The sequence below is a fragment of the Homo sapiens genome, chromosome 3 (genome assembly GCF_000001405.40).
Source record: "Homo sapiens chromosome 3, GRCh38.p14 Primary Assembly".
In the NCBI taxonomy this organism is placed as follows: domain Eukaryota; kingdom Metazoa; phylum Chordata; class Mammalia; order Primates; family Hominidae; genus Homo; species Homo sapiens.
In genome coordinates this window covers 142812986-142826420 of record NC_000003.12, presented here as the reverse complement: position 1 = coordinate 142826420, position 13435 = coordinate 142812986, and the positions used below count along the sequence as shown (strand labels likewise).

Genomic DNA, 13435 nt, shown 5'->3' with positions numbered 1-13435 from the left:
TCTCTCAGAGGAGGAAAAGAAGAGAGATGGTATAAAGATGACTTGGAGGTTTGGTGGGGATCTTGAGAACATTTTCTGCTATGCTTCTCTTCTTCCTAGAAAATAGGCAGGGTCGGCTAGGTGCGGTGGCTTACACCTGTAATCCCAGAACTTTGGGAGGCCGAGGCGGGTGGATCATGAGGTCAGGAGATCGAGACCATCTTGGCTAACACGGTGAAACCCCGCCTCTACTAAAAAAATACAAAAAAATTAGCCGGGCGTGGTGGTGGGCACCTGTAGTCCCAGCTACTCGGGAGGCTGAGGCAGGAGAATGGCGTGGACCCAGGATGCGGAGTTTGCAGTGAGCCGACATCGCGCCACTGCACTCCAGCCTGGGCGACAGAGTGAGACTCTGTCTCAAAAAGAAAAAAAAAAAGGCAAGGTCACCTCTGAGAGGGAGAAGGGAGTGGCAGCACGGGAGGTTAGGAGAATGAGAAAGAATTTGAAAAACAGCTGTAGAAATTGGAGAGTAGGCTGAACTCCAGCCTGTCACTCTGCTGAAGGCCCATTTGTGTACTCAGTTGTCTGAGGGCAGGCACAGGAAAAACAGATTTCTCTGAAGATTCATACAGGGCTGAAGGGCAGAGGGGAAGGGACCTTAAGGCATTGTGTAGAAAATGATTGAAATAATGGACCATGGAAATGAAATAGAATTGCTAAGGAAGTAAAGACAGGCCAGGGCTGACGGGTTGGGAAAAATGAGAGCAGCCAATATATTGAACCATCAAAGATGGAAGAAAACATAGTCATAGAGTGATTAAATAAATAAGCTTGGAGGGGAGAACGCTGTCCTGGTTGCCAGCAGGTCTAAATTTGATAGACTGGCAATGAACAGCCATAGCATGAAGACATCCGAGCCTGGAACTGAGTGTCTAGGAAAGTCCCTGGTGAAGATGAGGCCACGGGGACTGCGGGATCAGACATGGGAGGGTGGACCCATAGAAACGATCGCGGGAACACAGCCAGGGAGGGCTGAGAACCGGGACCAGCTTTGTGAGTGAAGGGCAAGGAGACAGATGACAGTTAAGATGAGGAGGGGAAGGAGAGAGCCAGTGACTTGCAGGCCAGACAGCAGGCCCCACCAAAGCAGGAGAAGGGCATGTTGGACACCCACCCCACTTCCAGACTGACCTTCGGAGGCTGAGAAGCAGCCGGTTCCCAATGGGCCCGGGAAAGGGCGCTCACCATCAGACACACCACAACTTTTTGACTCAGTTAACTGAGTAAATTTAATTCCATAAATTTACAGCTGAAGTGAGGTTCCCAACTTCTGGAACAATGGTATGTCTCTCCCTTCCAAACATCTTCTGAGCTCTTTCTCTCCCTTTTTTAAAAATGCATATTTAAGCTATTATATGTATTTTAACATTAAATTACATATGTTTTAATATTGCCATCTGCTTCAGATTCTTTCTGGAGTTAACTAGGGGGTACAGATTAAGAGTATATAAATAGGCTGGGCGCGGTGGCTTACACCTGTAATCCCAGCACTTTCAGAGGCCGAGACAGGCAAATCACCTGAGGTCAGGAGTTTGAGACCAGCCTGGCCAACATGGCGAAATGAAATCTCTACTAAAAATACAAAAATTGGCCAGGCATCTGTAGTCCCAGCTACTCAGGAGGCTGAGGCAGGAGAATTGCTTGAACCCGGGAGGTGGAGCTTGCAGTGAGCCAAGATCACACCATTGTACTCCAGCCTGGGCGACAGAGCGAGAGACTCCATGTCAAAAATAAATAAATAGATAAATAATAAATTAACAGAGGAGTTGGTGGGGCCTGTTGGAAGAGCAATATTACAACTGTGGATATTCACCCAACAAGGGCAATTCTGTTACCGTGGTTCTGTTTAGTTCTTCCTAGCATATTGTCACACAGAAACAAATAATTAGCAAGTATTTCTGAAACATTCTTAAGATGATTATGAGGATGAACTATTTTCACGTTGTTAACCCGGGGTTTCTCTACCTCAGCACTATTTATATTTTGGGCCAGATCCTTCTGTGTTGCGGGGACTGTCCTTTTTTCTGTGGGATGTCAGCAGCGTCTCGGCATCTACCCACTAGATGCTAGCAATACCCTCTAGTTGTGATAACCAGAAATGTTTCTAGATATTGCCAAATGCCTGCTGGGGGCAACGTCACCCGTACTTAAGAACTGCTGTGTTTTGTCTATTTGGTATACTTTTAAATTTGTCTACTTCTTAGTTCTTAAGATTCTTATAGCCAGTGCCAGGCTCAAAATAAATATTTAGTGATGGGTTGCATCTAATTACAGATGTAACACACTTTACACATGAACAGTATTTCTAAAAACCTATGCTACTCATGTTTAGGCAATTGCATATTTTAAGGATGTCCTCAGGGGAACACCCTATGATTCCTTTTGTAAAGTGAGGGATTAACCTACATTCTGTGAGTTCCAATTTGTTGTTCTGGGTTTTTCTAAACAGGGCACACACTCAGAGTACGCCTGTATTTTCTTATAGTGTTTGTTTTATATAAAGGAAGAAGAGAACAGGGCTACATTTGTGCTATCTTTGAACTCAGGTTTAAAATTCAATAGAGGGTATTGAGTTGTCCTGGTGAAATTAGAGCAGTAGTTGGTAGCATGGAGAATTTATTTTGCGTGGTTTTAAATTTTTTCTTTGTAGTGATAGATTGGTGGCTCAGGGAAATAAATGATAATTTTAAATGGGTAGATTCAGAACTAAAGACCAATTATGCTTGAATTCATTTTTCGTGAAACTTATGTCTTCTTTGAATTAAGGTTTAAAACCCACCGTGGCCTTGTGTCAACAAAAGTGTAGACGGACGGGGACTCTGGAGGGCAATTATTGTTCAAGTGACTTTGGTAAGAAATAAAAGCCAGTCTTTTTCTCTTTAACCAGAAACTTGAGGCTGCATGCTTAATCTCAAAGGAATTCCTATGAATTTATGGTGAAGGGTCAATAACGCTGCTCATTTATCCAAGAAAATACTTGCCTATACACCAGAATGGTCAAATTGTTAGATTTCACCACTGAGAAAAATATGGATTTAGAAAATATACTTTTTTCATATAAGCTTAATAATTTGACTCTTGGTACATGATACTGCCACATTGTGTGTTCTGGCTGACTATTCCTGCAAAAAACCTATGTACTTTTTTCCTTATATATTTTTCATATACAGAGTATTTTTTCACACATCTATAACTCAACTTAAGTAAATTAGAAACATACCCGAGCTTATATTCAGAAGCTGGTCTCTCTCAGAAGAAATTCAAGTATTTCCCCTGTACTGCCTTTCTGAGGTACTGAAGTAAAAGTTGGAAATCTGGAGTCCATTTGGAAACTCTCACAAACTGGAACCTGAGGAGGTGTTCTTTAATGATTTAGAATTTTTAAGAGCTTTTTCCAGTGGAAAGATTGCACCATCTATGATAGCTACTTAAGAGCAAAAGATACAACATTTTATCTTGGTTATTTTTTCAGTGGCTTTAAAGGAACATTTAAGACAAATCTGATCAGGAAGAGCAAGTTGCTATGGCCTAAATACATTTCCCCAAACAAAACTTCCCCAGAGAGGCTCTGCTTGCTTTTTCTGTGCCTTGAAGTGACTTCTGTAGTCCAGACGAGCTGTATCATAGTGAAGGTGTGAAGACACTGAAGACTCTGGGACCCTAAACCTTACTAGAGTTCACATGCTGAAATTCAAATAACTGGCATAAATGTGAAAACAACGCCACATGTAATTGCTACCACATCCAGTTTACTCTTCTGTAGGAGGTGCTTCAGGAAGTCTCCCTCCCTGTGTCTTGGGAGCCACTGATTTCACTTGACTATAGACTGAATTTTGGAGTGAACACTTATCACGCAGGATCAAAGTAAAGCATCATAGGAATTCTGATTTTATGAACATTGCACACTGCCTAAGCAGTGAGTGTTCACTTTATTCTGAAGGAGTCAGATTAACCAAGTCCAAAACTTGATTTATTCCATTAATGTGACCGCTTACATGGCAAAATGACCAAAACTATCATCAGTCACTGGTTCTCAACCAGGGCTGATAATGCTCCCCTGGGGAGTGGTAGAGATGTTAGATTACTGCATTTTTTTGGTTGTCACAATAACTAGGAACTGCTACTGATTTTTCTAGGAAGGACAAGGCTGGTAAAAAATGTATTCAGGCCAGGTTCAGTGGCTCACACCTGTAATCCCAGTACTTTGGAGGCCGAGGCAGGTGGATCACCTGAGGTTGGGAGTTCGAGACCAGCCTGACAAACATGGAGAAACCCCATCTCTACTAAAAATACAAAATTAGCTGGGTGTGGTGGTGCATGCCTGTAATCCCAGCTACTTGGGAGGCTGAGGCAGGAGAATTGCTTGAACCTGGGAGGTGGAGGTTGCAGTGAGCTGAGATTGTGCCACTGCAGTCCAGCCTGGGCAACAAGAGCGAAACTCCATCTCATGAAAAAACAACAACAACAAAAAAAAACTGTATTCAGTGCAAGTCCTACACCACAAGGAACTGTCCTTGCTCAAGCCCCCAGAATGCCAGGCGCACCCCCGTGAGAAAGACAACATCTTTCCTTCTGTGGCTTCAAAGAGAGACTCTTTTCTCGGAGTGTCATGATGGAAAAAACAGGGGTTTACATAATGAAAAAATCAACTGAATTTTACTAGAGGTTTTTTTTTAAGAAAAAAAAAAGTTTAAGTTAATACCTCAGTTCTATACTTCAGCTTGTTAAATGAAATAAACGGAGTGGATAAGAAAGAGAATATGAAAGACCGTAGAAGACAGAGCTTTCCTGATAATTAGACAGAGGTGAGGACCCAGGGAATGAACAAAAGTTCAGGAAGAAAGGACAGCTACAGAGAAGGGTGAGGAGAGACACAGAAAGGTGGCTACACACCCACACCGACACAAAGACTCACATCTTAGTGGCCCAAACCCCCATCGCGCAATCTTTTAGCGTGGTACTGCCTCTAAAGATACAAGATCTTTTTGAGTATTCACAGGTAGAGCCTCATAAGCCAGACTATCCCCTATGTGACAATCAAGCCACAAGTTGGATAAAACGTTTTAAAGAGTTTCAACCTTGGCAATGGACCGCAGTGTGGCAAGTATTTAGGCTTCTCTTCTAGTTATCAATCCCCAACAACCAGCGTAACATCACAGCTCCAACCTGAATTTTGGTGACAAATGTACAGAAGCAAATGTGAAACCTCTATGAGGGCCTTTTCTTTAACATTAAAATGTTTCGTATCTGAAACTTAGAAGAATGTAAACTTGTTTTTCAGTTCTGCTTGCATTTGCCTTCACTGTCACATCACTTCAAAATGTTTTCTTCTGCAGTATTAGCCGGCACTGTTATCACAACCATCACTCGCGATGGGAGTTTGCACGCCACAGTCTCGATCATCAACATCTACAAAGAGGGAAATTTGGCGATTCAGCAGGCGGGCAAGAACATGAGTGCCAGGCTGACTGTCGTCTGCAAGCAGTGCCCTCTCCTCAGAAGAGGTGAGTAGGGAGAAAACTGGGTGTCTCTGAGCAAGCCATGGATTTTCCATGCCATGGTTGGTCTAGGGAAGTAAAATCAGGGCTAATATGTTGCCCACTTCTTGCAGAGCAGGAAGGCCTTTGGAGTCAGGCAGAATTGGGCTCTCATCCAAGTCCTTGTAACTTGTGGCAGAAGAAGGGGTAGTGGACATGATGAACAAGTGAAAGAAGCGTTTGAAGTTGAGTCAATAGGCAACAGACACACAGAGCAGTGCAGGGTGGAGAGATTTTAGACTATTGCACTTAAGATGCCAGTACTGTCTAGGTTTAAAGAAAAATATCCAGCAGCCAACAGGAAATGCAGACCCGAAGTTCAGAAGAGGGAGGTATATCCGGGCTAGAATCAAGATCTGGGAATCATTTGCAGAGATAGGACTATTAAGTCCATGGATGGGAGTGAGTTTATTGAAAGAAATTACGAAAAACGGAAAGTTACTCCAGAGCTAGAGGCACATGACTTTTTAAGAATATGTATTTAACAACTTATAAAAGTAACATATGTTTCATGGTTTTTAAAAAGTTGAAATAAGTAGGTAAGAGTATGTTTAAAAGTGAAACCCTTTTCCTTTCCTTAGAAGTACTCTAAAAAGTTCCTTCCAGCCAGACACAGTAGCTCATGCCTGTAATCCCAGCACTTTGGGAGGCCGAGGTGGGAGGATTGCTTGAGCCCAGAAGTTCGAGATCAGGCTGGGTGATGTAGTGAGACCCTATTTCTATAAAAAAAAAAAAAATTTAAGTTCCTTCCAGAAAGTTTCTATCCACATAAAGCATGGGCATATACACTTATGGAATCATATCACACACAAGTTCTGCAATTTTTCCCCTACATAAGCTCTAACATCTTTCCACACATACACACAGAGAGAGAGAGAGAGAAAGAGAGAGAAAGATACAGAATATCCACTTCAAGAAAGCTTTACTGTCCCAGCACTTTAGGAGGCTGAGATGGGAGGATTGCTTCAGCCTGAGTTCGAGACCAGCCTGGGCAACATAGTGAGACCTCTGCTCTACTAAAAATAAAAAAATTTAGCCGGGTGTGGTGGTGCGCACCTGTGGTCCCAGCTACTCGTGAGGCTGAAGCAAGAGGATGCCTTGAACCTAAGAGGTCGAGTCTGCAGTGAGTCATGATCACACTGCTGCACTCCAGCCTGGGTGGCAGAGCAAGACTGTCTAAAAAAAGAAAAAAATTTAAAAATAAAGCAAGCTTTACTGTGAATTCAGATTGTTCAGAAAAGTCAGGAGGCTAGTAGCCTCATGTTGAGTCTCTGGAGAGAATCACAAAGGCTCTGTAAAAGAGAAACATTTCTTTCCAGAACTGCCAGGAGCAGCAGATACTGCACCTCAAGATTCTATAAGGTCTCATAATGCTGCTAGCACTTCAGCCTTGAGGCAGCATTACCTGCCCAGACTCTCAGGCTCTCACAGACCACTGTGATGACAAGGTCCACCCACACAGGAAAATGCAAGAGAAAAAGGACACATTTTCTCTATGACACACCAGGGGAAAGGGGAACTAAAGGAGGAATTAACCCATACCTTTTTTTCTGATTTATTTCTGAGGTAATATAAATATTCAGAGTTACCCAACACCTCAGGCCCCAGTCTAGGCCTAACTTAGCCAGTCACACCAATGTATAAAAACATAGTATAACCAATATAAGTACTCTTGACACCGATGTTTTGCAAGAAACTGTACAAATGCAAGTAGTATATGATCCATCTATGCCCTCAAGAAGCTTGCGTAGCATACATGTTTGAGATGTTGATTAAAGTTCAAGACAACAGCAACATAAGAGAGTGGATCATTGGTTGCCAAATGCCAGGAAAATCCAGACACATGATGGGACTGAGAAGCCATCTGAGGATGGCCCATCATGGAGCCCTGGAGGCCCCTCGAGGAAGGAGAGTCTTTCACGTTAACGCGGTGCATTCTTCATAGCAGGCATTTGAAACCACAACAGACCTACAGCACTGCAGAGCGGGACATGGCTGATCTAACCACTCAGTCCAGCTTCCTGGTGTTAGCGTAGCTGAAATACCTTACTAGTTGAATTTGGCTTTTTGCCGATGAGAGTCTTAAAACAGATTTTATCATCCAGGCACAATGGCGTGTGCCTGTAGTCCCAGCTACTTTGGAGTCTGAGGCAGGAGAATCGCTTAAGTTCAGTAGTTTAAGACCAGCCTGGGGAACATGGCAAGACCCCCATCTCTAAAAAGCAAAAACAAGAAACCCAGATTTTATCGTGGATGGAATACATGTATAATCTTACCATTTGCAGAAGAGAACATTTATCTAGAGGTAACTTACAGTCTAAGTTGTTTCACACATGATACATAGAGAAAAAGATTAATTTCTGTATTCTCTTTCTTTAGGTCTAAATTACATTATTATGGGCCAAGTAGGTGAAGATGGGCGAGGCAAAATCATGCCAAACAGCTTTATCATGATGTTCAAGACCAAGAATCAGAAGCTCCTGGATGCCTTAAAAAATAAGCAATGTTAACAGTGAACTGTGTCCATTTAAGCTGTATTCTGCCATTGCCTTTGAAAGATCTATGTTCTCTCAGTAGAAAAAAAAATACTTATAAAATTACATATTCTGAAAGAGGATTCCGAAAGATGGGACTGGTTGACTCTTCACATGATGGAGGTATGAGGCCTCCGAGATAGCTGAGGGAAGTTCTTTGCCTGCTGTCAGAGGAGCAGCTATCTGATTGGAAACCTGCCGACTTAGTGCGGTGATAGGAAGCTAAAAGTGTCAAGCGTTGACAGCTTGGAAGCGTTTATTTATACATCTCTGTAAAAGGATATTTTAGAATTGAGTTGTGTGAAGATGTCAAAAAAAGATTTTAGAAGTGCAATATTTATAGTGTTATTTGTTTCACCTTCAAGCCTTTGCCCTGAGGTGTTACAATCTTGTCTTGCGTTTTCTAAATCAATGCTTAATAAAATATTTTTAAAGGATTACAGAACAACCACTAAACTTCTTTTTATAGATAGTGGGACATTGTAGAAGGAATATTCCCTTTTAGCAATAAGAATAGTGTGATTTATGCATAAGATTGCCTTTGTATCAATTTACACTTTGCTAAAAGAGCATTCCAAGAATTTCAGGGACTAAATGGATCCAGTAATGTCAATAGACTATAATTCTTCTCTCTGCAGAAACAGAGAATGTTAGTGCTAGAATAACATCTCTCAGGGATCTAGTCCACACTGTTTCATTTTGTAATTGAAACGGAAGCTCAGGTATGTTTAGTGACTTGCCAGAGCACATGTCTCCTAAGAGACAAAACAATCAAGCTAAAGAGTCCTAATTCCAAACCCTTTGCCCTCACTGCCACTAGAAGAGCCTTCCCTACCCCCAGAGGAAAGCCCTCTTATCCTGATTTGAAGAGTGAAGTACTAAATATTAGTACTTAGGCTAGTATTTACTAGCCTATATAATTGGTCATTTTACAGAACTTGAAATTAGAAGTGAGCTTGACACTGCTGCCCTGTTTATCCCCAGTTAACTGGATCAGGCTGTATCAGCTAAGAGCCTTTGAGAAATCTATTTTCACTCATTAGTGGAAGAACAGCAAAAGGACCTTCATTCACATAGAGCTGCTTAAGGCACAACTATATGAGTGCAGCAACCAGCCCTGTAGGAGGTTACCAGCCAGGGGCTGTGGGAGAGCGGATAACCATCCCTATCCAAAGAAGGCTGAAAGAACATTAGGGATGAACAAAGACGTGGGTCACAAACTCTTCCACGGTAGAAGCAAAGTTTTGGAAATAAGGGAAAATACTCTTTTAGATGAAAACAATAATTCCCAGCCCTAGGATGACCAGACATTTAAAGGGTGGCAAAATAGAAGTTCAGAAGGAACTCTGTTCCCTCTGTTACGGCAGCTGGGTGAGCCTAAGGAAACGACAAAATTGGGCTGACAGGCAGGTCAGAAACTGCTCCTATACTTTCCCACTGAGGAGCCGTCAGCAGGAAGTAGATGAACTAGAAGACCCTGATGACAGTGGGTGACTGGCTTCCCTGGCCAGTGTCAGCTTTTAGAAAGTTCTCTTAGCCAGCTGAACTTCGCAGACCAGCTGCGCCCAGCACAGGATGTAACTGTGGACTCCTCATTGATTCCAGCCTTCTCAAAGCAAGTTGCTTCCCTTTAAGAATACATGTTCCGGGACTTAGGAGGGAATCCTAAAGATTTCAGTATTTCTTCTTTCTGAATAGAATCTCCTATTGGTGAATTACAAGCAGCATGCTGGCGGGTATCAAGCTTCTGCATGACCAGCGGAAAGACTTCTTCAGGTGAGTGGGGGCTTGAGTCACAGTGGGGTAAAAACTGAGAAGAGTAATCTAAACTATTCATACTATTGACATCTCTGACACAGTATTTTACAACTGCTTAGGGGATTCACGGTTAAAAGTGTGTGGCACTGGTTTGTCTTTTACTTCAGTTATTCAAAACATAGAGATAAGATGAATCGTGAAGCTGCTCTTTCTGGAATAACAACCACTTTGTAATTTCTTTCCTTTTTAAACAATCATTTTTCTATGGTTTGACTGTATCCTCCAAATTATGTGTTGGAAAGTAAATCCTCAATGCAACAGTGTTGAGAGGTGGGCTCTTTTATGAGGCAGAGCCCTCACGAATGGATTAATGCCATTATCATGGGAGTGAGTGAGTTATCGTGAGAATGGGTCCTTGGTAAAAGGATGAATTTGGCCCCCTGCGTCCCCACTCCATCCTTGTCTTTCTCTTTTGGGCATGCACATGTGTTGATGTGTTCATGTGCTCTCTTGCGTTTCCACCTTCTGCCATGGGATGATGCTGTGAGAAGGCCGTCACCAGATGTGGGCCCTTGACTTTGGACTTCCCAGCCTCCAGAACTGTAAGAAATAAATATCTGTTCTTTATGAATTACCCAGTCTCAGATATTCTGTTATAGCAGCACAGAACGGACTAAGACACCTTTATTTTGACTGAGGTTTAGTTTCCTTAGTTATAATTTGAGGGAGTTAGACTACATAACTTCTGGGATCCCATACTATTTTCTCTTTTAGGAATTGTTTATTTTTCAAGAATAGTTGATAAGGTTTTGTTTTTGTTTTTAAGTATTTATACTTGGGGAATCAAATACACATGAAGAATGAATAGGTGACCATACTAACATATCACAAAACATTTCAAAATTATAAATAAATCTCACTGTTTCAGAGCATCTTGCTAGCTTGATTTTCATCCTTTGAATTCCTGTAAATGAACATTTAAGATTTTTCCCAAGTTCCCAAGTCTTAAATTCTGTAATTTACTTCCAAGTTAACCTTAATTGGAAGACATTTACCTTCTTTTCTTTCATGTATTAATAGACTACTGCTACCAGGCTCCCATTTACTTCTGGACTATTTAAATGGTATCAACTAATGACAAAAAAAACTCCCTTAAAGAAAAGCCCTGTAATTAAACAGGCACTAATGAGAAAGTTCTAACGTGAGTTAAGTAATATTAATCAGAAACACCTTTTGCTTGAGTTCATGGATTCAAGCAAACAAATTTATATTTTTTATATAAATGGAAACAAAAAATTTGCAATTAAATTCAATTAGCAAGCAAATGTTTTTTAAAAAGATTTGACCTAAGTATTCTAAAGACCTCGTATTGAGAGAGAGAAAGATAAAAATATTAACTTAGGACTTTGATAATTTAAGTATTTACATTAATTTTTCTAGGGTAATATAATAAAATAATAATATAAATAGAGCATAAATAATATAAATAGAGCATCAACATTTAAAACCAGCAGAGGAAAAAAAAGAAGAAATTAAAGAAAGTGAAACCAGGAAAAATACAACAAAATAAGGTAAAAATACAAACATATCAATAATTTCAGTAAACACCTAAACTAAGTCCTGAAAGTTATACGTCAAAATGGTCAGACTGGCTTAGAAAAAGAAATACAGCTATGTGCTATTTGAAAGAGACATCTAAAACATGAGGACACGGAAAAGTTGAGAGGAAAGGGATAGAAAAAGATAAATACAGTATACCAGGCAAACATTAACCAAAATAAAAATGGTATGGTTTTATTAATACCAGAAAAAAAATACTTCAAGGCATTACTCAAGATGAAGAGAGTTACAAGGAGATATAACAATTCTAAATTTGCACACAGCTAATAACATCCTTCAAAATATATAACTAAATCTGATATAGTATAAATAGAAATGGACAAGTTTACCATCATAAGGGGAGGTTTTAACATGTTTCTCTCAGTATTGACAGATTTAAAAGAGAAAACATTAAAAATATAGAAGTGTTGAACCGCACAATTAGCTAGATTTACCTAACACACATATGTAGAACAGAACCAAGGGCACATTATTTTGAGCTCGTATGGAACAATTTCAGAACTTGCCATGCACCATGAAGCAAATTCCAACAAATTTCAAACAACTGGTATCGAACAGCCTTCTCTAACAGTAAATGACTAGAAATTAATAACAAAAAGTAAACAACAAAAAACAAGAAAAAAATTGGAAATTAAGAAATGTACTTTCAACTCATGATAAAAAGGAAACCATAATGGAAAACAAAATATTAAAAACTGAACAATAGAAAAACTGCATTTTAAAATGTGTGAAATGCAGCTTAAATAACACTTTAAAATTTATAATCTTACATGTTTACATTATAAAAGAAAGGATGGAAATTATTAATTTGTGAATGATACAAATTGGGAACTTAGTAAAAGGAAAACACCATAAACTTTTAAAAGGTAGGATAAAATAGCATAGAGCAGAAATTGAATAAAATTGTCATCTTAAATAATAGAAAAAAGGAAAGCCAAATGTTGGTTCTTTAAAATGACTAATATAATTGACAAAACTCTGACCAAATTAAGAAAAGCTAATTTTTGTATTTTTAGTAGAGATGGGGTTTTGCCATGTTGTTCAGGCTGATCTTGAACTCCTGATCTCAGGTGATCCATCTGCCTTGGCCTCCCAAAGTGCTGGGATTATAGGCGTGAGCCACAGCACTGGGCCACGAATAGCCTCTTTTTGACAAAGGCTCTCTGGATGTACAAGTGTGGGATTGCCCATGGATGCATGGAATCGGGTGTTCTGGGTGAGTAGCTCTGGGATATACATAAAAATTTGTTCTGAAGTATTCTAAAGTTATTATTAAAAATCCTGGTTTTGATTTTTTTGTCATTTGCTTCTCCCTTTTAAAAACAAAATCAACAATTGAGTTTAAAAGGCTAAAATTTGATTAGATATAAATGAAACATCTTTGCCTGAATGATGTCCCTGTAGCATTCTAATACTAAGATTGGGTTAGATTTCAACGAGATGAAGCTTTTAAGTATAGAAACCTATGAAGAAAATTTACAAGCTGAAAGTAAGACTTCATATATCTGATTAATTCATCTCACAAAAAAACTGATATTAATAGTAACATAATGCAGGTAAGAGCCTCCCAGCTGAAAAGGAAAAAGACTTGGATTCTCATTCACAGTGTGGCAATGGGAGAACTTTAGTTTCCTTATCTGTAACATGAAGTTGAATTGGATACTTTCTGAGATCCCTTATGGTCTTAAGTGGTTTCTGGATCCTTGAATATGTACTTTTTTTTTTTTTTTGAGATGGAGTTTCACTCTGTTGACCAGGCTGGAGTGCAGTGACGTGATTTTGGCTCACTACAACCTCTGCCTCCCAGGTTCAAACTATTCTCCTGCCTCAGCTTCCTGAGTAGCTGGGATTACAGCCGCACACCACCATGCCCAGCTAATGTTTCACTATGTTGGCCAGGCTGGTCTCAAACTCCTGACCTCAGGTGATCCACCTGCCTTGGCCTCC

At 40.2% G+C, this 13435-nt stretch overlaps 1 protein-coding gene across 1 annotated transcript in view; it reads left to right on the top strand.

Moving 5' to 3' along the window:
- Window positions 1–8547, top strand: part of PCOLCE2 (procollagen C-endopeptidase enhancer 2) — a 71210-nt gene extending 62663 nt beyond the window's left edge. The window contains exons 7-9 of the mRNA NM_013363.4: window positions 2806–2889; window positions 5376–5543; window positions 7956–8547. Coding sequence (NP_037495.1) covers window positions 2806–2889; window positions 5376–5543; window positions 7956–8086 — 383 coding nt within the window. The 3' untranslated portion in view covers window positions 8087–8547. The remainder of the gene's footprint in view (window positions 1–2805; window positions 2890–5375; window positions 5544–7955) is intronic.
- Window positions 8548–13435: the final 4888 nt, after the last annotated feature.